General features: G+C 42.8%; 2 protein-coding genes and 1 long non-coding RNA gene across 6 annotated transcripts in view, besides 2 other annotated features; 2 read left to right on the top strand and 1 right to left on the bottom strand.

Annotated features, from left to right (window-relative positions):
• Positions 1-23,436, top strand: part of TTL (tubulin tyrosine ligase) — a 59,584-nt gene extending 36,148 nt beyond the window's left edge. The window contains exons 6-7 of one of the 4 annotated variants that reach the window (NM_153712.5): positions 1,979-2,122; positions 10,378-23,436. In NM_153712.5, the coding sequence (NP_714923.1) occupies positions 1,979-2,122; positions 10,378-10,492 (259 nt within the window). In that variant the 3' untranslated portion in view covers positions 10,493-23,436. Of the gene's footprint in view, positions 1-1,978; positions 2,123-2,918; positions 3,038-10,377 lie in introns of those variants that run through there. The other 3 variants (NM_001371712.1, XM_005263599.4, XM_011510665.3) reach the window with 3 other exon arrangements.
• Positions 10,292-10,792: an enhancer, noted in NCBI's record as "H3K4me1 hESC enhancer chr2:113286172-113286672 (GRCh37/hg19 assembly coordinates)". NCBI's record gives its function as "activates a minimal SCP1, AML or CMV promoter by ChIP-STARR-seq in naive H9 embryonic stem cells {active_cell/tissue: H9 hESC(naive)}" and the evidence as "EXISTENCE:reporter gene assay evidence [ECO:0000049][PMID:30033119]".
• Positions 10,793-11,293: an enhancer, noted in NCBI's record as "H3K4me1 hESC enhancer chr2:113286673-113287173 (GRCh37/hg19 assembly coordinates)". NCBI's record gives its function as "activates a minimal SCP1, AML or CMV promoter by ChIP-STARR-seq in naive H9 embryonic stem cells {active_cell/tissue: H9 hESC(naive)}" and the evidence as "EXISTENCE:reporter gene assay evidence [ECO:0000049][PMID:30033119]".
• On the bottom strand, positions 23,353-23,909 carry LOC105373562 (uncharacterized). The gene is made up of 2 exons (NR_136321.1): positions 23,900-23,909; positions 23,353-23,775 (listed from the first exon to the last, which is right to left on the bottom strand). It is a non-coding gene; the product is annotated as an uncharacterized LOC105373562 (long non-coding RNA).
• The window catches only part of POLR1B (RNA polymerase I subunit B), a 37,783-nt gene continuing 37,594 nt past the window's right edge, over positions 23,733-23,921 (top strand). Inside the window, exon 1 of the mRNA NM_001282772.2 lies at positions 23,733-23,863. Coding sequence (NP_001269701.1) covers positions 23,849-23,863 — 15 coding nt within the window. The 5' untranslated portion in view covers positions 23,733-23,848. The remainder of the gene's footprint in view (positions 23,864-23,921) is intronic.

A 23,921-nucleotide genomic window follows, 5' to 3' on the forward strand; every position in this document is an offset into this window, starting at 1 on the left:
TTAAGGATATTCTTGTGTAGAACAGGGATTTTTTTTTTTTAATGTGATGTGTGCTTGTCAATTCAGGTTGAATATGAATGGGAGAAGAAATTTTTATTATAATTAGTTTTTAAATGACTCATCTTAAAAGAACCATTTAAGCCAAAATAGTTTTTAAAGGTTTAAATGTATCAATTAAAATATTTTTCTTTTTAGGAAAAAAGAAAAGGAGATTGAAGTTTGTGGAGGGCCGAGGGCGGAGGATTGACCCTGGCTCCAAGTTCACAAAGGCCTCAGTTCTTTATTAAAGTCATGAGTCAAAACCTGCATCTAGAGCTACGTCTTAGAGTTAGTCACATGGACGACAGTTCCCTGTATCTTTTTCTTTTTCTTTTCTTTTTTTTTTTTTTGAGACAGAATTTTGCTCTTTCACCCAGGCTGGAGTGAAGTGGCACAGTCTTAGCTCACTGCAACCTCTGCCCCCTGTGTTCAAGCGATTCTCCTGCCTCAGCGTCTGGAGTAGCTGGGATTATAGGCACCTGCCACTATGCCTGGCTAATTTTTGTAATTTTAGTAGAGATGGGGTTTTGCCATGTTGGTCAGGCTGCTCTCGAACTCCTGACCTGAGGTTACCCACCCGCCTCGGCCTCCCAAAGTGGTAGGATTATAGGCGTGAGCCACCGCGCCCGGCTGGCCCCTGTATCTTTTTCCTTCCAAATACACAGCTGTGTAGAAGGACAGTTATCTCTGGTACACCAGAGTCATTGTAGCACATTTTATTTACTGAGAGAAATATTTTGCCCCAGCATTCAGTTGGGTGAAAAATCAGGGAAGATCTTTATAAAACAGAAATGGCATAGGTTTTCTGGGATAGTTGTAGATAAGAGGTATTTATTCTTCCTAAATAATAGATATATGGTTATCATAAGGAAATATGATGAAAAATTGTTCATAACAGTAACATTTATTAAAATGCTTCCTAGGTGCCAGGAGTTATGACAAGTTCCTTATGTAATTATCTCACTGAACAATCACTTGTTCAAGATTTTGGTCTGACCTGAGACCTCATGTACTTGTTCATTGTATTTCCAAAATACACTTTCAACTTTTTTATTGTGTCACTAAAATCCTGCCATTTTTCCATTCATTGTTGCTAATAATACTTCTACATTTCAACATTTAGTTTCAACATGTATAGCTCTTAAATCTTGTAATTAGCAATAATTTGCCATTGGAACTAGAACTAGCGACATCGTGAGGTCAACATGTTTTTTTTTTTTTTTTTTTTTGCAAATCCTGCCCTTCACCAAAGGGCAGTCCATTCTTTACATGGCAAAAATACATGGAAATGTTTTACGTGTTATAAACAAACATGGCAGCAGCCCAGCTGTTGGAAGAATCTTCATTTACAGAGGCCACAATGACTCGGCACTCTACTGCTTCTTGAGACATGGGAAAGTGGCTTTTGCCTGGAAGAACACGAGTGGTTGCAGTTTTCTAACAAATGCTTGATAAGTAACATTCTCTTGAGTAACCTAATGGTAATAAGTTGAAAAGAGAGAATTAGGCCGGGCACGATGGCTCGCACCTGTAATCCCAGCACTTTGGGAGGCCGAGGTGGGCGGATCACCTGAGGTCGGGAGTTCGAGACCAGCCTGACCAACATGGAGAAACCCTGTTTCTACTGAAAATACAAAATTAGCTGGGTGCGGTGGCGCATGCCTGTAATCCCAGCTGCTCGGGAGGCTGAAGCAGGAGAATCTCTTGAACCCAGGAGGCGGAGGTTGCCATGAGCCAAGATCATGCCATTGCACTCCAGCCTGGGCAACAAGAGCAAAACTCCGTCTCAAAAAAAAAAAAAAAAAAAAGGAAACAGAGAATTAAAGCTGATAAGCTGATATTTGTATTCATCTCATATAAAATCTTTCAAGCACACCTCATGTCTTCCTTCTCCTTTGACCACCCCGTTCTAATGAGCATTTCCCCTCCTGCCTCATAGGAACTGCCTCCTGAGCGTGGAGCCTGCCATTAGCACCAAGCACCTCCCTTACCAGAGCTTCCAGCTCTTCGGCTTTGACTTCATGGTCGATGAGGAGCTGAAGGTGTGGCTCATTGAGGTCAACGGTGCCCCTGCATGTGCTCAGTAAGCCTGCACGTCATTGTGTTTTTACAAGTGGGAAGTTGGTTCTGCAGTTGGGATAGTCTGTGGGTACAAGTGTAGTCACTTTGACTGCTGTGAGGGAGGATGCCACAGTGATAGGAGACCCTTGGGAGGACTCTATCTGGCAGGGGGCTTTGCTGAGTCACTTCCTTTCCTATTTCCCCGTGTATAGGCCAGATAGGCCCAGTGTGGTAGCTCATGCTTGTAATCCCAGCACTTTGGGAGGCCAAGACAGGTAGACTGTCAGGTAGACTGTCTGAGCCCAGGAGTTCAAGACCAGCCTGGGCAGCCTGGCAAAACCCCATCTCTACAAAAAATACAGAAATTAGTCAGGCATGGTGCTGTGTGCCTATAGTCCCAGCTGCTCGGGAGGCTGAGGTGGGAGGATCACTTGAGCCTGGGAGGTTGAGGCTGCAGTGAGCCATGACTGCACCACTGCATTGCAGCCTGGGCGACAGAGAGACCCTGTCTCAAAAGTAAAAAATGTAAGCAGCTAGCCTGTGCTCAGGTGGGTGGGAGATGCCATGAGAGTGTTAAAGTTCATTACTGCCAGAGAGACCCGTATGACAAGCTGAGTAAGCAGGATCCTATGATGTGGCGACCCAGAAGTTCAGAGCCTCCTGAGGCAGGAAGGAGTCAGAGAAGGCATCTTAGACATGGGGGGTCTGGAGCTGGGGTGCAAGAAAAGAGGGTTCCGCTGCACCAAAGGTTGGTGGGGAGAGTCTTCCAAAAGAGGTGCAGCGTCCTGTGGGCTCTCACCCTGTCCCGGGCTCTGCAGGTCTGGGAGATGCCCAGAGGAACAGAAGCTCCTGAGAACCTGCTCTCCGGAACTTCTGCTTCTCTCGGGAGAAGGCTGGTTGTAGCATGAGCGTCATGGAGTCATTAAGGAGGAAGGAAGGTAAGAGAGGACCTTCTGTGGAAGGCCTTACGTGTCAGGGAAAGTCACTCGGACTCAATTCTCTTGTGCTGAGGGTTCTTCTGAAGATCCTCTTTCATGATGTCAAGACCCTTTCGTGGTTCCCATCTACATCTTGAAGAAATTGAGTGATTTTTCAAAATGTTTAAGAGAAAGTCCCGTACCTGCAAGGGACGATGTCAACACACCAAAGTTGTTCTTTACTTAGAAGCTAGGCCTTTGCCATTGCCTGATGGTTACGACAGGCATGATTGCATGATTCCATCTTGTTCATCAGTCTCTGCAGCCGATAAGTGCTTATCAGGTGCTGCCTACCTGGCCAGGCTCTGTATGAGGCCATGGGTTCACAGTGGGGAGCAAAGAGAGACACAGGCCCTACCTTTCGTGGGGAGAGACTGTGAGCAGACAGATACCAGGCAGATGTCAATTACAAGCGAGGACAAGTGCTTCAATGGAGAACAAAGGATGTTGAAAGGTAACGTAACTGAGCCAAGGGCCCACGATGGGAAGTGATGTTGGAACTGAGATCTGAAGGCCAAACGCAAGTTAGATGGGCTAAGGGCGGAATAAGGCAGGGATCCGCACCTTCCCTCACCAAATCAACAGTGGTGTGCCCAGTCTCACCCACTGTCCTTTCCTATCAGGGGTTTGTCCCTCCATGGTGCTCTAGACCTTTCCCTCCTCCCGCTCCTGTCTTCTCATCTGGCAGTTAACATTGTCACCTTTTTCCCTCTCTGATGCATAATTCTTGTCAGCATATGCAGTCCCAGCAGATTTTCCCAACTATTCAAAAAGATGTCCTCCCCTGATGCCACATCCTGTTCCAATGATCACGCCTTCTCCAGTTCCCTTCACAGCCAAGCTTCTGGAGAGCAGCTTCTGCACAAGCTGTCTTCTATTCCTCTGTTCCCATCCATGTTCCAGTCCATTCCAGGCTGGCTCCCATCCTGATTGCCTCACAGAAACTGTTCTTTGCAGGTCCCCAGCCAAGTCCTTATTGCCACCTCCAGCAGCCTCTTTCTGTCCCCACCCCCTTGGACCTGTCAGCAGCATTCGAGGCAACCGACAGCACTTGCTGAGCTGCTCTCCTGTCATGGCTGGACACGTGGTGCTGGGCAGGCTTGCCTGGTGAGGTGTGGGCAAGCTGGACTCCGTCTTCTTCATCCAGTGCCTCTGGTCTTAGGCCTGGGTGTTTGTCTCCTCTCTGTGTATGTGATCTCATCCAACTTCATGATTTTGAAATTACCAAATTACATCACAGCCCAGAGATGCAGACTAGTATCTGCACCTGCCTTCCCTGCCAGAATGTCTCCCGTCTGCCTCCAGACTTACCCATCTTGGTCGGTCACCACCCCCTGCTCCCCCCAGAGACTAAGCTCGAACCTGACAGTGATCCTGCCTCTGCCTTCCCTTCCCCTCAAGTCCTGCCCATCAGGGCCCTGTGGGTTGTACCTCTAGCCTCCGGAGTCCTTTGCCCTCCATTTGCACTGTCACCCCTGCACAGGGTGTCTTCCACCATAGTGAAGGTTTTGGCATGGAGCCTTCTAACTGGGGTGCACTTCTGCTCTTGCCCCAGTGAAATCCATCCTCCCAGAGCAGCCAGTGTGTAAAGTCGACACCAGACCATGCCATTCTCCAGACTTGCCATTGCACCTAGGACACAAACCAGACTCCTCCCTCCACCTCCAAGGCCGCTGCCTTACCCACCTCTCCAGCTTCATCCCAAGTCACCATTTCCCTTGATTGCTCTTATCTGCAGTGGGCCTTTGTGCTTTCTGTTACCTGTGTGTGGAATCCCCACCACCATTACCACCACCACCACCAGCCTTACCGTGGCTGGCTTCTTCTTTACCAAAACATCTTGAGGAAGCTTTCTCTGAACAGTCCTAGCTCTGATTTTCTCTAGGCAGAGCCTTTGCAGTTTCCTTCATTGCACTAACTGCCATCAGATTAACTCATCAGAAGAAACTGTCTGTGGGTGTGTGTGTGTCTGTGTGTGTGTGTGTGTGTGTGTATCCGCCCCTTCTTCTTTATTTCTACCCTGTCATCCATTCTCTGTCTGCCTTCTATTCATTGGGTCTTGGCTTAGCTGCCACTGGAAAGTCTTCCCCTGTCACTGGGGAGTCTTCCTCTGTCACTGGGGAGTCTTCCTCTGTCACTGGGGAGTCTTCCCGTGTCACTGGGGAGTCTTCTCCAGTGTCCCTTCAATTATGCTGAGTTGGTCCTTTTCCTGGGTAGGGCCTGCCCCTGTCTGTAATGCAAGGTGGCTCTTACATGCTCTTGAAATGCCTGCCTTCCCTGCCAGTTGTGTGCCTTGTTCACCTGCAAGGCCTTCCATAAGTATTTGCTGAGGGAATGCTTTATCTTCGTGCAAAGGCTTCTGAAGCATCTGTATATACAGTGGCAACCAGTTTTTTTTTTTCTTTATTTTTTTGACATTTTGTTATTATTATACTTTAAGTTCTAGGGTACATGTGCACAATGTGTAGGTTTGTTACATATGTATACATGTGCCATGTTGGTGTGCTGTACCCATTAACTCATCATTTACATTAGGTATAACTCCTAATGTTATCCTTCCCCCATCCCCCAACCCCACAACAGGCCCTGGTGTGTGATGTTCCCCATCCTACGTCCAAGTGGTCTCATTGTTCAGTTCCCACCTATGAGTGAGAACATGCAGTGTTTTGTTTTCTATCCCTGTGATAGTTTGCTCAGAATGATGGTTTCCAGCTTCATCCATGTCCCTACAAAGGACATGAACTCGTCCTTTCTTATGGCTGCATAGTATTCCATGGTATATATGTGCCACATTTTCTTAATCCAGTCTATCATTGATGGACATTTGGGTTGGTTCCAAGTCTTTGCTATTGTGAATAGTGCTACAATAAACATACATGTGCATGTGTCTTTATAGCAGCATGATTTATAATCCTTTGGGTATATACCCAGTAATGGGATGGCTGGGTCAAATGGTATTTCTAGTTCTAGATCGTTGAGGAATCGCCACACTGTCTTCTGCAATGGTTGAACTAGTTTACAGCCCCACCAACAGTGTAAAAGTGTTCCTATTTCTCCACATCCTCTCCAGCACCTGTTGCTTCCTGACTTTTTAATGATCACCATTCTAACTGGTGTGAGATGGTATCTCATTGTGGTTTTGATTTGCATTTCTCTGATGGCCAGTGATGAGCATTTTTTCATGTGTCTTTTGGCTGCATAAATGTCTTCTTTTGAGAAGCGTCTGTTCATATCCTTTGCCCACTTTTTGATGGGGTTGTTTGATTTTTTCTTGTAAATTTGTTTAAGTTCTTTGTAGATTCTGGATATCAGCCCTTTGTCAGATGGGTAGATTGTAAAAATTTTCTCCCATTCTGTAGGTTGCCTGTTTGCTGATGGTAGTTTCTTTTGCTGTGCAGAAGCTCTTTAGTTTAATTAGATCCCATTTGTCAATTTTTGCTTTTGTTGCCATTGCTTTTGGTGTTTTAGACATGAAGTCCTTTCCCATGCCTATGTCCTGAATGGTATTGCCTAGGTTTTCTTCTAGGGTTTTTATGGTTTTACATCTAACATTTAAGTCATTAATGCGTCCTGAATTAATTTTTGTATAAGGTGTAAGGAAGGGATCCAGTTTCAGCTTTCTATGTATGGCTAGCCAGTTTTCCCAGCACCATTTATTAAATAGGGAATCCTTTCCTCATTTCTTGTTTTTATCAGGTTTGTCAAACATCAGGTGGTTGTAGATGTGTGACATTATTTCTGAGGGCTCTGTTCTGTTCCATTGGTCTATATCTCTGTTTTGGTACCAGTACCATGCTGTTTTGGTTACTGTAGCCTTGTAGTATAGTTTGAAGTCAGGTAGGGTGATGCCTCCAGCTTTGTTCTTTTGGCTTAGGATTGTCTTGGCAATGCGGGCTCTTTTTTGGTTCCATATGAACTTTAAAGTAGTTTTTTCCAATTCTGTGAAGAAAGTCATTGGTAGCTTGATGGGGATGGCATTGAATCTATAAATTACCTTGGGTAGTATGGCCATTTTCACAACATTGATTCTTCCTATCCATGAGCATGGAATGGTCTTCCATTTGTTTGTGTCCTCTTTTATTTCGTTGAGCAGCGGTTTGTAGTTCTCCTTGAAGAGGTCCTTTACATCCCTTGTAAGTTGGATTATTGGTATTTTATTCTCTCTGAAGCAGTTGTGAATGGGAGTTCACTCATGATTTGGCTGTTTGTCTGTTATTGGTTTATAGGAATGCTTGTGATTTTTGCACATCAATTTTGTATCCTGAGACTTTGCTGAAGTTGCTTATCAGCTTAAGGAGATTTTGGGCTGAGATGATGGGGTTTTCTAAATATACAATCATGTCATCGGCAAACAGGGACAATTTGACTTCCTTTTTTCCTAATTGAATACCCTTTATTTCTTTCTCCTGCCTGATTGCCCTGGCCAGAACTTCCAACACTATGTTGAATAGGAGTGGTGAGAGAGGGCATCCCTGTCTTGTGCCAGTTTTCAAAGGGAATGCTTCCAGTTTTTGCCCATTCAGTATGATATTGGCTGTGGGTTTGTCATAGATAGCTCTTATTATTTTGAGATATGTCCCATCAATACCTAGTTTATTGAGAGTTTTTAGCATGAAGGTTGTTGAATTTTGTCAAAGGCCTTTTCTGCATCTATTGAGATAATCATGTGGTTTTTGTCTTTGGTTCTGTTTATATGATGGATTACGTTTATTGATTTGCATATGTTGAACCAGCCTTGCATCCCAGGGATGAAGCCCACTTGATCATGGTGGATAAGCTTTTTGATGTGCTGCTGGATTTAGTTTGCCAGTATTTTGTTGAGGATTTTTGCATCGATGTTCATCAGGGATATTGGTCTAAAATTGTCTTTTTTTTGTTGTGTCTCTGCCAGGCTTTGGTGTCAGGATGATGCTGGCCTCATAAAATGAGTTAGGGAGGAGTCCCTCTTTTTCTGTTGATTGGAATAGTTTCAGAAGGAATGGTACCAGCTCCTCTTTGTACCTCTGGTAGAATTTGGCTGTGAATCCATCTGGTCCTGGACTTTTTTTGGTTGGTAGGCTATTAATTATTGCCTCAATTTCAGAGCCAGTTATTGGTCTATTCAGGGATTCAACTTCTTCCTTGTTTAGTCTTGGGAGGGTGTATGTGTCCAGGAATTTATCCATTTCTTCTAGATTTTCTAGTTTATTTGTGTAGAGGTGTTTATAGTATTTTCTGATGGTAGTTTGTCTTTCTGTGGGATCAGTGGTGATAACCCCTTTATCATTTTTTATTGCGTCTATTTGATTCTTCTCTCTTTTCTTCTTTATTAGTCTTGCTAGCGGTCTATCAGTTTTGTTGATCTTTTCAAAAAACCAGCTCCTGGATTCATTGATTTTTTGAAGGGTTTTTTGTGTCTCTATCTCCTTCAGTTCTGCTCTGATCTTAGTTATTTCTTGCCTTCTGCTAGCTTTTGAATGTGTTTGCTCTTGCTTCTCTAGTTCTTTTAATTGTGAAGTTAGGGTATCAATTTTAGATCTTTCCTGCTTTCTCTTGTGGGCATTTAGTGCTATAAATTTCTGTCTACCCACTGCTTTAAATGTGTCCCAGAGATTCTGGTATGTTGTGGCTTTGTTCTCATTGGTTTCAAAGAACATCTTTATTTCTGCCTTCACTTCGTTATGTACCCAGTAGTTATTCAGGAGCAGGTTGTTCTGTTTCCATGTAGTTGAGCGGTTTTGAGTGAGTTTCTTAATCCTGATTTCTAGTTTGATTGCACTGTGGTCTGGGAGACAGTTTGTTATAATTTCTGTTCTTTTACATTTGCTGAGGAGTGCTTTACTTCCAATTATGTGGTCGCTTTACTTCCAATTATGTGGTCAATTTTGGAATAAGTGAGATATGTGGTGCTGAGAAGGATGTAGATTCTGTTGATTTGGGGTGGAGAGTTCTGTAGATGTCTATTAGGTCTGCTTGGTGCAGAGCTGAGTTCAATTCCTGGATATCCTTGTTAACTTTTAGTCTCATTGATCTGTCTAATGTTGACAGTGGGATGTTGAAGTCTCCCACTATTATTGTGTAGGAGTCTAAGTCTCTTTGTAAGTCTCTAAGGACTTGCTTTATGAATCTGGGTGCGCCTGTATTGGGTGCATATATATTTAGGATAGTTAGCTCTTTTGTTGAATTGATCCCTTTATCATTATGTAATGGCCTTCTTTGTCTCTTTTGATCTTTGTTGATTTAAAGTCTGTTTTATCAGAGACTAGGATTGCAACCCCTGCTTTTTTTGTTTTCCATTTGCTTGGTAGATCTTCTTCCATCCCTTTTATTTTGAGCCTATGTGTGTCTCTGCACGTGAGGTGGGTCTCCTGAATAGAGCACACTGATGGGTCTTGACTGTTTATCCAATTTGCCAGTCTGTGTCTTTTAATTGGAGCATTTAGCCCATTTACACTTAAGGTTAATATTGTTATATGTGAATTTGATCCTGTCATTATGATGTTAGCTGGTTATTTTGCCCGTTAGTTGATGCAGTTTCTTCCTAGCATCTATGGTCTTTACAGTTTGGCATGTTTTTGCAGTGGCTGGTACCAGTTGTTCCTTTCCATGTTTAGTGCTTCCTTCAGGAGCTCTTGTAAGGCAGGCCTGGTGGTGACAAAATTTCTTAGCATTTGCTTGTCTGTAGAGGATTTTATTTCTCCTTTACTTTTGAAGCTTAGTTTGGCTGGATATGAAATTCTGGGTTGAAAATTCTTTTCTTTAAGAATGTTGAATATTGGCCCCCACTCTCTTCTGGCTTGTAGAGTTTCTGCCGAGAGATCCGCTATTAGTCTGATAGGCTTCCCTTTGTGGGTAACCCGACCTTTCTCTCTGGCTGAGTGGCAACCAGTTTTAGAAATGTGGTCATGATATAGAATTTCTAGGGCAGATCTTGGTAAAAAACAAAAACAAGAAAAACTGCCAGGCACGGTGGCTCACGCCTGTAATCTCAGCACTTTGGGAGGCCGAGGTGAGAGGGTTGCTTGAGCTCAGGAGTTCAAGAGCAGCATGGGCAACATAGCAAGACCCTGTCTCTACAAAAAATTTAAAAATTAGCTGGGCATGGTGGGGCACACCTATAGTGCCAGCTACTTGGGAGGCTAAGGTGGGAGGATCCCTTGAGCCCAGGAATTTGAGGCTGCAGTGTATGTACCATGATCGCACCACTGCATGCCAACTTGGGAGACAGAGCAAAACCCTGTCTCAAAAACAAAAAACATCTATTTTTTTTGCTTGTACTTTGATGAACATCCTCAATGATATTTTTAAAAACACATTTCAGGAAGCTCTATGCAGAACTGTGCCAAGGCATCGTGGACATAGCCATTTCCAGTGTCTTCCCACCCCCAGATGTGGAGCAACCTCAGACCCAGCCAGCTGCCTTCATCAAGCTGTGACAGAGGGCACTCCCTGCTGCCTTGGAAAAAGCACGGGGTCCTGCTCCAGGGAATGGTGAAATGACTGGATTGCTCTTTATCCAGCCCACAGCAGGGGAAAGAAAGGCAACTCGCAAAGATGAGATGGAAGAAGGCACGTGAGCAGAGGAGGCAGCTCCCAAAGAGAGGGCTGCTCAGGGGGCTTCCCAGATGTAGCTCTCAGCAGTGCTGTTGAGACTTTTGAAAACAACTTTGGTACACAAAGGCAGCTTTGTGAGCAGAGCTCCTTCCCCTCTCCCCGGGAACGGCAGGGCACTGGGACCTCTGGTCGGTGCCTCCCACCCACTGCAGCCCTAGTGCCTTAGCTCCATGCCCGGCTGCAGCCCCACTGCTCTGGACTATGGATTGGACGTCAGAGCATATTGGAGGTTGCCTGTGTGTTCCCCACCCATCCCTTCGGTAACACTCTGCCACACTAAGCTCTGTACAAGCATGCACCAACAGTCCTTAGTTTTGTGCTGTGCACTGGCCTCTCGGCAAAGGTGGTTTCCCTCATCACCTTCCTGATGGTGTTTGGTCAGTCACCTGTCAGGGTTTGTGCGGGTTGGGCCCCAAAACAGCATATGCTGCTCTAAGTCTGCTCTCTGCATGTTTTAGAAACAAAGTGGCAAGTCTGCCCTGAACCTGTAAGCATCAAATAAGCATGAGAGAGAAAAAAACATGATATATTGCTTTACTTAATAGGTTGAATATGGTAGGTCTTTGAAAATATGATGATTCAATTTTCTCAATTTTCTTTGCTTTAACCAAAATTCTAAATGCAGTTTTGCCTAGTTCCCTTTTTTTTTCTTTTTTTACTTTTTTTTAAACGTTTGTAAAAACCTCTTTGAGGATGAGGAGTCAGTAAAATTCCACTCCCCAAGTGGCCCTGCCCCAGACAAAGGTTGCTTTCCCCCTTTTTGTTCTTTTTATGCCCCCAAGCACTTTCTGCAGTAGCTAGAGGGACAGGTTTCCTTCCAGGAAGGATTCGAGTTCCTGTGCCTGTGGGTATTAGGAGAGTATATATCCTGCCTGAATGGGGAAGTCTTCTAAAATGGGAAAGAAGTGGTTTCATCTCCACACAGTGTCTTGTAAATCTCAACAAATGTGTACTGTTAGAAGTGGCTTCCGCTTACTGGATTAACTAATACTTTATAGGCTTTTCAGGAGGCCACATCACTAGCAGTAGGGAGAACAAGATGTCATTTGTGTTCAGTGTAAGCTGAGTAAACAGGCCCTTCCTAGAGTGTCCTGGAAATCACAGCAACCCATTGAAAACTGCCCTCCCCACCAGAACGTGCTACGTTCTTTCTTCATGCCTATGTGTGCTCCATTCCTCATTTCTACTTGGCTCAAGAAAACATTTCTGCAGTCAGGTGAGACTTTTACAAAAGAGGAGAAAATCAATGCCTCCTTGAACATGATGAGATGTGAGAACTTACAATGAAAAAGGCAATAATGATAGAAATTATTTCTTAGGTACAGCAATAGTTGATAGGATGTGAGGGTGTTACCTTGGGGTGAAGTGGAGAAGGTCCCAGGTGAATTGGCTCTCATGGAAATTTGGAATTACAAAATAAACGTCCTGGGGGTTACCCAGAATACAGATTTAAAAGTTTGCCTGTAGAGCAAAATAAAACAGTCAGTTGTAGTCATTAATCCTTGAGGCCCAACGCAGCCGATGGGTTGGTGTTTGGGAAATTCTGAGATGGGAGTGAGATCTGATCGGATCCTGGGAAGATGTATACCCAGTTAGAACGTGTAGGGTTCTGGGTCCCTGGCAAGTCTAGGTGGGCGGGTGACAGGGAAAGCATGGGCATTTTTGTATTGCTGTCACATGCTAACAGAGGTTTGTAATTATCTTTTGGACCCAAATTATAGAGACATTCACGAGTTTTCTAGCCCTCACAGTAACAGAGCTAAGAATTCAGATGTCAGGAAGTCTGTGAATCTTGATGGATTTTCTGAGAAACCTGACTCAATGGCATATATAAGAGGGAAGTAAGACTTTTAAGAAAAGAAAAAGTTATGCCTCATTCCTCATGTGGCTTCCAATAAGTATCTTAGGAACTTATTTCCTTTTTAAAAAATATTTTTTAAATTTTTAAAATTTGATTTTAAATTTCAAATAAATTTAAATAAATTTTAAATAAATTTTAAATAAAATTTTACAGAGACGTGGTCTCACTGTGTTGCCCAGGCTGGATTGCAGTGGCTATTCGCAGTTGTAATCATAGCACACTGCAGCCTCGAATTTCTGGGCTTGAGCAGTCCTCCCGTCTCAGCCTCCTGAGTAGCTGAGACTACAGGTGCACACCACCAAGCCTGGCTTTATGTATTTATTTCTGTTCATGCGGAATGATTGGTTCAGAACTGTTCCTTTCCCTTCCATGATGTCCTTGACACAGAAGGTTATGCCTGGCTCCCAGTCAGGCTTCATACTTTTGGTCCATGTAAGTGCTACCCGTTGCTGGGGGAGGAGTCATGGTTTATTTGGAAATGTCAGTTGCAATCATGGTTCTGTCATTTGACTGCACAGTATCAGAGGAGCCTGTTAACCTCTCTGTGCCTTAGTTTCTTAGCCCATGAAAGAGATCATTGCCTGACCCAGGGACTACCTCAAGGGCTTTTGATGAGGACAAGTGACAGTAGGAAGATGCAAGAGCCTTTAGTACCAAGGTTCTCAACACTGACTACATGCTGGAATGACTGTGAAGCTTTTAAAAAATGTTAGTGCCCACTCTTCCCCTGTACCCCCGGACAGTTAAATCAGAACCTCAGACAGCAATATGCCTTGAGATGCCTTGAACCATGCTTGAGAAGGAAGGACAAACACATTATTATCTTGGAAGAATTGCATAAGGCTTATGACTTAAAAAAAAAAATTCTTTTTGGAAACACAAGCATTTCTTTAAGGATGACCGGATGTTGCCGTATGTATTTATGGCACAAGCAGGTGTTGTCTAAGCAGTTTCTCTGTTTGCTTGTCATAGCAGCATTTGGAAACTCAAACATGCTTTCATTTACATAAATAGTTTATGAAGCTTTGACAACAAATGTAAACAGACACGAAATTATAAATCTGCTAAATATGTATTAAGGGTATTAATTATTGAAAGTCCCTTTCCCCAAAACTCAACTCCTATGGCAATTATGAACTCCATTTTACCAAGAACATTTAAGTGCCTCAGCATCTGTATGATATAGTGGAGCAGGTGCTGACATAGGTACCAGCTGACATGATGTGTCACTAGCTCTGTGGGATGATTGCCACATACATGGAACACCTGGGAGTGCTGGAAATGTACTGTGATCGAAGTGACAAAGTGTGTTTTCATTCACAGTGGAGGCTACATCAAGCAAGGGGAGGTCCAGCCCTCTTGCAAGTGTGGTGAGAGGCTCTACTAGCAAAGACATGGGCACCGGAGTAGGTCCCGTGTAGCATGCGGGTGCTGTAGAGAAAATTCAGTGACGTACATGGCTCTGGTTCTGGACACAAAATCTGTACTGGAGAGGAAATGACTGCTGAAATAAGGCGATTGTATGAATATTTAAAATGCCTGGAACACTAAAGTAAAGTAATGATATTTCAAGTGTTTTTGTGCTCTTTGGTTCTTGTTGTAGGTATTGACTGTCCTGGGATATCACTGGTCATTTAAATTCACCATATAATTAGCCGGGCATGGTGGCATGTGGTGGTGGCTGAGGTGGGAGGATCGCTTGAGGCTGAGGTGTGAGGCTGCAGTGAACCATGTTCACACCACTGTACTCTAGCTTGAGCAACAGAGCAAGACCCTGTCTCAAAAGTAAATAAATAATAAAGTAAATATAAATCCATGATGCCGTTACTCAGGGGTAGACAGACTTTCTGTAAAAGGCCAGATAATAAATCTGCTAGGCTTTGCAAACCATGTAGGGCCTTTTTTGCATACTTTTTGTTTTTTTCTCCAACTCTTAGCTCATAGGCCGTATAAAAGCAGGCCAGATGTGCAGTAATTTGCTGACCCCAGGATGTTACCCAATACATAAGCCAACAGATTGTCCTTCAAAACTGATGAGCTTCTCAGTGAAGCACTGAGACTATTTCAGCTGCCAAAGTCCCAGCCCATCGTTTCTTACGTGTCTTGTGTATCGAGTTCTTGTAAAGCATTTCACCAAGGCCAGGTTTTTAAATACCTATAAACCTCACACACCTGAGATGCTTAGTCTTGTGGATAGAAAGAGTTTCATTAATGCAAATTGTTATTAACTTGTAACTTCTTGTGCAATAAGGCTGAATGCTTTGGACATCTTTCCTTTGTATGGCTGGCCTGCCTTCTGTGGCTGCTTCCACTTCATAAATATACCTCTGGCACAGAGGAGGTTTCCATGCCAGAAGCCCTGTGTAGGCACTCCACTCCAAACAGGTTTCACATACACTATGACACATTCCCAGTGGACTCAGCAGAGATTGCATGGGCAGGGTGCAGGGTGCAGGGTGCAAGCAGACATGGATCCAGGCAGGCACCTACTTAGGACCCTGAGAGTGGACAGGCCCAAAGCCTTTGGAAGACTTCTCTTAAAGACTGGTCCCACTTCCTGTCAGTAGCTACACCTCCTTCTTAACCTGAAGTTCTCCCATAACCCATATTTTAGAAGTGTTTTCCCCAAAGCATCCCTCCATATCTTAGTCTATTTTGTATTGCCATAACAGAATGTTACAGAGAAGTGTATGTGGCTCACGGTTCTGGAGGATGAGAAGTCCAATATCAAGGGGCTATATCTGGTGAGGGCCTTCTTGCTGCCTCAGCATGGCAGAAGGCATCACATGGCAAGAGAGGAATGGAGTCTAACTCACCCTTTAACTAGCAACCCATTCCTGTGATAACTAACCCACTCCTGGCATAACATCATTAATTTATTCATGAGGGTAGAGCTCTCGTGACCTAACCTCTTACAGGTCCCACCTCTCAACACTATTGCAGTAGAGATTAAGTTTCCAACACATTTACTTTGGGGAACACATTCAAACCATAGCAGTCCCTGAAGGCAAAGGAAAATGAACCCCTCTCCAATGCAATACATAGTAGCAGAACTTGAAGATTGTTGCAAGCATAATTCCTTTCAAAAATTATGAGAGGACATCAGTGGGCATAATAGAGTAACAACCTCTGAAAACCCTCTCTTCCATAAAAGCAATGAGAACACTAGCAAAACTGTCTAGACATTAACCAGAGGCTTGCAGCAATCCATTTATTCAAGAAAAGGCCTGTAATCCCAGCACTTCGGGAGGCCAAGGCGGGCGATCACGAGGTCAGGAGATGGAGACCATCCTGGCTAACACAGTGAAACCCCATCTCTACTAAAAATACAAAAAATTAGCCGGGCGCGGTGGCAGGTGCCTGTAGTCCCAGCTACTTGGGAGGCTGAGGCAGGAGAATGGCGTGAACCTAGGAGGCAGAGCTTGCAGTGAGCCGAGATCACGCCACTGCACTCCATCCAGCCTGGGTGACAGTGCGAGACTCTGTCTCAAAAAAAAAAAAAAAAAAAAAAGGAAAGGGTTGCATCTGGGTAAGAAAAGCAAGCTTTCTGACATTTTAATGTACCCTATTCCCACTCCCCCTTTCCCCAGCTCCACAACAGCCTCGGCCACACAATCATGCTGACATCCAGCAGCAGAGCAGCCACCGTAGGGCTCAGAAGGGGATTGGAACTCCTCCAAAGCTTCATTACCAGAGAATTGCCATTTGGCCTTTTTGGTAGTTCCATGTAAGTCCCTACTCCTAGGTCTTGTCTTTATTTGATGTGACTAAGAGGTTACCCAGTGTGAACAACCTTTTCCCTGGGTGCATTTGTCAAAAAAAATCAACAGCAATTGTTGAACATCTCAGCTTCCTAAGGTGGCTGTAACAGTTGGAACAAACAAACTGACCAAAAGACTTAGAAGGAAAAACTGGGAATGAGATTTCTATAGGACGTTTTGAAAAGCTTCAACCTATTCCTAAGAATGCAGAAGGCCACACACATGTGTAGGACTGTGCACATGCCCAGAAGAGACCTGAGAATTCCCCAGCTCTTTCGTCTGACCTTAAGTGTCTGCACAAACAGAGAGGACAGAGGCAGAAGGAGGGAAAGAGGGAGGGAGGAAAGGTAGGAAGGGGAGAAAGAGAGAGGAAGAAAGAGAAAGGAAAGAAAGGCAGGCAGAAAGAAGGAGAAAGGGAGGGAGGGAGGGAAAGGAGGGAGGGAAGAAAAGAGAAAGATTGAGAAAGAAAAAAGAGAAAGAAGAAAGAAAAGAAAAAAGGAAAGAAAGTTAGTTTATAAAATAGAACCAAGTAGAAATTTTAGAGTTGCAAAGTACAAAAATGCAAATGAAAGATTTACTTGAGAAGTTTAAAAAATGTGTGAACTGGTAAAAGAAGTAATCAGCAAATTAGAAGTCATTTGAGATTATCCAGTCTGTGGAACAGAAAAAAAAAATCAGCAAAGAAAAATGATCAGTGCTTCAGACACCCGTCAGACACCATCAAACATACCAACATACACATAATAGGAGTCCTAGAATAGATAAGTGAGAGAGAGGGAAGGGGATAAAACATATACTGGAAGAAATAGTGGCCAAAACCTTTCCCACTTTGAGGAAAAACATTAAAGTGAATCCAAGAAGCTCAACAAATTCTAAGCAGGAAAGACTCAAAGAGTCCACCTCAAGACACACCAGCCACTAAGTAAATAATTTTAAATATATAGTAAAAAATGACAAGGAAACAGAAATGTTACACTAGAAAATATATAAGAAAAGAGAAGGAAGTAATGAAAAATAGAGGAGAAAAAAAAGGCAAGAGGCCTAAAGAAACCAACAGTAAAATGGTAGATAAATCCTGCCTTATCAGTAATTTCATTAAATGCAAATGAATTAAATACTCCAATCAGAAGGTAGAGATTGGCAAATTGATTTTTTTTAAAAATCATGATCCAACTATATGCTATCTACAAAAAACACACTTCATTTTATTTTTATTTTTATTATTTAGAGACAGAGTCTTGCTCTGTTGCCTAGGTTGGAGTCTAGTGGTGTAATGATAGCTCACTGCAGCCTCAAACTTCTGGTTTCAAGTAATCTTCCCACCTTAGCCACCCAAGTAGCTGGAACTATAGGTGCCTGCCACCATACTTGGCTAATTTAAAACAATTTTTTTAGAGATAGGACCTGGCTTACTTCAAAACTTACCTGGCTAATTTCACTTCACATAACGATCTTCAGTTCCATCCATGTTGTTGGAAGTGACAGGATCTCACTCTTTATGGCTGAACAGTACTCCATTGTGTATAAGCAATATATTTTCTTTATCCATTCATCTGCTGATGGACACTTAGGTCGCTTCCAAATCTTGGCTATTGCAAACAAGGCTGCAGTAAACATGGGAGTGCAGATATCTCTCCAAAAAAAATTTTTTTTTTTTTAGAGATAGGGTCGTACTGTGTTTCCCAAGCTGGTCTTGAACTCCCGTCCTCAGGCAATCCTCCTGCCTCAGTCTCCCCTAAGCAGCTGGGATTACAGGCATCAGCCAATGCACCTGGCAAAACACACTTTAGATTCAAAAACACAAACAGGTTGAAAGTAAAATGATGGAAAAAGATATACCATGCAAACAGTAACTCAAAGAGAAGTGGAGTAGCTATACTAATGTTAGACAACATAAACTTTAAGAAAAAAATTGTTTCTATAGACAAAGAAGGACTTTTTTTTAATAGTTCCAACTTTTATTTTAAATTCTGGAGGTACATACACAGGTTTGTTACATGGGTCCTGAGGTTGGGGTACAGATCCCATTACCCAAGTAGTAAGCATAGTACCTAATGGTTAGCTTTCCAATCCTTGCACCCCTCCCTCCCTTCTCCCTCTTGTCATCTTTAGTGTCTCTTGTTGCCATTTTTGTGTCCATGTGTATCTAATGTTTGGCTCCCACTTATGAGACTGTGCAATATTTGGTTTTCTGTTCCTGTGTTATTTCACTTAGGATAATGGCCTCCAGCAGCATCCATGTTACTGCAAAGGACATGATTTCATTCTTTTTTATGGCTGCATAGTATTCCATGGTATATATGTACTATATTTTCTTTATCCAATCCACTGTTGATGGGCACCTAGGTTGATTCCATGTCTTTGCTCTTGTGAATAGCACTGTGATAAACATATAGGTGCATGTGTCTTTCTGGTAGAATGAATTGTTTTCTTTTGGATATATACCCAGTAATGGGAGGCTATGTTGAATGGTAGCTCTGTTTTTGTTTGTTTGTTTGTTTGTTTGGTGGAGTCTCTCTCTGTCACCCAGGCTGGAGTGCAGTGGTGTGATCTGTGCTCACTGCAACCTCCGCCTCCTGGGTTTAAGCGATTCTCCTGCCTCAGCCTCCCAAGTAGCTGGGACTACAGGCGTGTGCCGCCATGCCCAGCTAATTTCTGTATTTTTAGCAGAGACAGGGTTTCACCATGTTGGCTAGGCTGGTCTTGAACTCCTGACCTCAGGTGATCGACCTGCCTCAGCCTCCCAAAGTGCTGGGATTACAGGCATGAGCCACCATGCCCAGCTGCTCTGTTTTAAATTCTTTGAGAAATCTCCAAACTTCTTTCCACAGTGGTTCAACCAATTTACATTCCTGCCAGCAGTGTATAAGCATTCTCTTTTTTTCCTTAGCCTCTTCAGCATCTGTTATTTTTTGACTTTTTAATATAGCTATTCTGACTGGCGTGAGATGATATCTTATTGTGGTTGTGATTTCCATTTCTCTGTTGATTAGTGATGATGAACATTGTCTCATATGTTTCTTGGCCACTTGTATGCCAAGGACATTTTATATTGATAAAAGGGTCAGTCCATTAGGAAAATATGACAATTATAAACATATGTACCTAGCAATACAGCCTAAAGATACATGACATAAAAACTTAGAGAATTGAAGGAAGAAACAGACAATTTAACTACAATAGTTGGAACCCTCAAAACTCCATTTCAATAATAGCTAGAGCAACTAGGCAGAAGATCAACAAGAAAATAGAAAACACTATAAACCAACTAGACTTGACAAATATCTACAAGGCACTCCACCCAACAGCAGCAAAATACACATCCTTCTCAAGTGCACATGGAACATTCTCTGGGGTAGATCACATGCTAGGCCATAAAACAAGTCTCAGTAAATTTAAAAGAATTGAAATTATACTACATATGTTCTCTGACCATGTTGGAATAAAATCAGAAATCAGTAACAAATTTTGTTAATTTCTGTATTAATGAAGAAATATACAAGTAAAGAGGTTGGACTAATAATAATTCTTTTAAAACTTCCCACAGGGAAAAGCCCAGGACCAGATTGTAAGCCAGATGGTAAGGAATTAACACCAATATTTCATAGAGTCTCCTAAAAAATAGAAGAGAAGAAAATACTCCTCAATTGAGAAGAGTGTCCTCAACTTTATGAGGTCACTCTTAATACCCTGATACCAAAACCAGACAAAGATGTCACAAGAAAAGCAAATAGCAGACCAATAATCTCTTGGGAATACAAACGGAAAAAATCTTCAACAAAATACTAGTAAACCAAATCCAGCAACATAGAAAAAGGATTATACATTATGACTAAGTGGGACTTATCCTAAGATTACAAAGTTTGGAATAACTCATGTTCTCTTGTAAGTGGAAGCTAGGCTGAGCACGGTGGCTCACTCCTATAATCTCAGCACTTTTAGGAGGCCAAGGTGGGCAGATCAAATGAGGCCAGGAGTTTGAGTCCAGCCTGGGCAACATGATTAAATCTGGTCTCTATAAAAAATACAAGAATTAGCCAGGCATGGTGGTGCATGCCTGTAATCCCAGCTACTCTGATGGCTGAGGCACAAGAATCGCTTGAACCTGAGAAGAGGAGGTTGCAGTGAGCAGAGATCGCACAACTGCTCTCTGTCCTAGGTGACAGAGCAAGTCCTGTCTCAAAAAAATTAAAAAGTGGGAGCTAAACATTGGGTACACATGGACATAAAGTTGGGAAGAGGCCAGTCGCGGTGGCTCACGCCTGTCATCCCAGCACTTTGGGAGGCCAAGGCGGGCGGATCATGAGGTCCGGAGATCAAGACCATCCTGGCTAATATGGTGAAACCCCGTCTCCACTAAAAATACAAAAAATTAGCCGGGCGTGGTAGCAGGCGCCTGTAATCCCAGCTACTCAGGAGGCTGAAGCAGGGGAATCACTTGAACCTGGAAGGCGGAGGTTGCAGTGAGCCGAGATTGCGCCACTGCACTCCAGCCTGGGTGACAGAGACTCTGTCTAAAAAAAAAAAAAAAAAAAAAAAAGATGGGAACAGCAGACACTGGGGACTACTAGAGCCAGGAGAGAAGGAGGGGAGCAAAGATTGAAAACTACCTATTGGATACTGTGCTCGCTACCTGGGTGACAGGTTCAACCATACCCCAGACCTCAGCATCACCCAATATACCTTTGTAACAAATTCGCACATGTACCCCCCTGATTCTAAAATAAACGTTGAGAAGGGGAAAAGAAAGAATGCAAGGTTTTTTTAACATACAAAATTTACTTAATATAATATACCACTTTAATAGAAAAAAGAGGACAAAAAGCACATGATCATTTCAATATACACTGAAAAAGCATTTGGCAATACACAACACTCTTTCTTGGAAAAAACCTTTCAACAAACTAGAAATAAATTACTTCCTCAACATGATAAAGAGCATCTTTGGAAAAACCCACAGCCTACATCATATTAATGGTGATGTGAAAGCTCCAGTTGGGAGCTTTCTTCCCAATATCAGGCACAAAACAAGTATATTTATTCTTGTCACTTCAACATTGTATTAAATGTTCTAGACAGAGCAATTCGACAAAAGGAAGGAAAGAAGACTGCGCATTCAGATTGGAAAGGGAGAAGTATGATGATCTCTCTTTGCAGACGACAAGATACCATATAGAAAAAGTCCTAAGAAATCCACTTACGCTGTTAGAACTAATAAAGAGTTTAGCAAGATTGCCAGACACAAGATCAATATACAAAACTCAATGGTATTTCTACATATTACAAACAATTTGAAGTTAAGAAAACAATTCCATTTATATCAACACCAAAAAGAATGAAATACTTAGGAATAAATTTAACAAAAGTTCATTTCTACACCAAATACTACAAAACATCTCTGAAAGAAATTAAAGAACACCTAAATAAATGGAAAGACATCCCATGTTTATGGATTGGGAGATAATTATTGTTAGGATGAAAATAGGCCCCAAATTGATCTACCAATTGAACACAATCCTGATCAAGAATCTCAGCCTTCTTTGCAGAAATTGACAAGCTGGGCCGGGTGTGGTGGCTCACACCTGTAATCCCAGCACTTTGGGCGGCCAAGGCAGATGGATTACTTGAGGTCAGGAATTCAAGACCAGCTTGGCCAACATGGTAAAACCCTGTCTCTATTAAAAATACAAAATTAGCCAGGCATGGTGGTGCATGCCTGTAATCTCAGCTATTTGGGAGGCTGAGGCAGGAGGTAGAGGTTGCAGTGAGCCAAGATCATGCCACTGCACTCCATCCTCAGCAACAAGAGCAAAACTCTGTCTCAAAAAAACAAAAAACAAAAAAAAAAAAAAAAGAGAAAGAAATTGACAAGCTAAGCTGACGCTAAAATCCATATTGAAATACAAAGGATCAAATAAATCTGGAGAAAGAAGAACAAAGTTGGAGGATGTGCACTTCCTGATTTCAAAATTTATTACAAAGCTGTATTAATCAAATCTGTGTAGTTTGTAGACAGATATACAGATAAATGTAGATAGACATACAGATCAAGAGAATAGAACTGAGAGTCAAAAATAAACCCTTGCATCTATAGTGAACTGATTTTCGACAAGGAGGCCAAGACAATTTGATGAGGGAAAGAATAGTCTTTTTAACAAATGGTGTTAGGACAACTGGATATCCACATGCAAAGGAATAAAGTGATATGCCTTTCTCACACCATATACAAAAATTAGCTCAGAATGAGTCAAAGACTTAAATGTAAGAGTTGAAACTACAAAACTCTTAGTAGAAAATATAGGTGAAAATCCCCATGATTGAAAAATATCTAGTATTTGATAGCACAACAGGGTGACTGCAGTCAGCAATAATTTGTTGTACCTTCAAAAATAACTGAGGAAGTACAATTGGAATGTTCATGACAGAAATGATGAATGCTTGAGGTGATGGAAACCCCATCTACCCTCCTGTGATGATTACATCGTATGCCTATATGAAAACATCTCATATACCTCATAAATATGCTAATTATGTACCCATAAATTTTTTTTTAAATCCTCATGACCTTGGATTACACAATGATGTCTTAGATATGATATAAAAAGACAGGCAACAAAAGAAAAAAACTACACTTCAAAATTAAAACGTTTTGCTTCAAAGGACACCAGCAAGAAAGTAAAAACCCACAGAATGGGAGAAAAATATTTGCAAATCATGGATCTGACAAGGACTAGTATAGGCTATATAAAGAACTACAACTACTCAGTTGGCCGGGCGCGCGCGGTGGCTCATGCCTGTAATCCCAGCATTTAGGGAGGCAAGGCGAGAGGATCACTAGAGGCCGGAAGTTCAAGACCAGCCTGTGCAACAGACTCCCGGCTCGAATTTTTTATAAAAAGTGATATAGGAATGAAAAGTACCAGCTGAACTAGGAAAGGGGAAGTTGACAGTAAGGAGGGACTATCAGGGGCAGGAGGATACTGGGTAGTGGTGGTTTAATTCATTGTTTTAATTGTGGTGATGGCTGCATGGTTGTATACATAGGTCAAAACTTAACGCGTACACTTTAAATGTGTGGTTTATTGTATGCCAGTTATAACGCAATATAGCTGTTAAACACAAACACAATAAAGTTGAAAAACCAGCAGGCATTCCCTGATTAATCAGTATTCTGGGGAGGTAAGGGGCTCACAGGAACGCAAAAGAAATTCAGGCTGTAAATCCAGTTGGACGCCCCGCTGCCCCATCCCCTCCATCCGGGACCGCCCGACTCCTCTCCCACCTCCTTCCCCAGGCCTCCCCCAGGCCTCCAGTCCGGAAGATGCGACGAGGTTAGCGGGGCCCGACCACTCCTTGGCTTCCCAGGGGTGAGCCTCGCGAGTTAGGAGTTGGGTAGAGAGTCAGCCCGGGGCCCGGCATCCGCTTTTTCGTTGAAGCAACGACTTTGGCCGGATGACTCCCCAGGGTCGGCATCAGCGTGGGACTGGGAACAGGTGAAGGGAAACAGAAGAGAGCCTGAGAAGACCGCTCTCCTCCGATCCTAATTGACTGAGCCAATGAGAGCCAAAGAGGTCACATGCTCAACTGGGCGGGGAGCGGGTTTCCACCTGCGGCATCTTTCGCGAGCGG

The sequence above is a fragment of the Homo sapiens genome, chromosome 2, assembly GCF_000001405.40.
Source record: "Homo sapiens chromosome 2, GRCh38.p14 Primary Assembly".
NCBI lineage: Eukaryota > Metazoa > Chordata > Mammalia > Primates > Hominidae > Homo > Homo sapiens.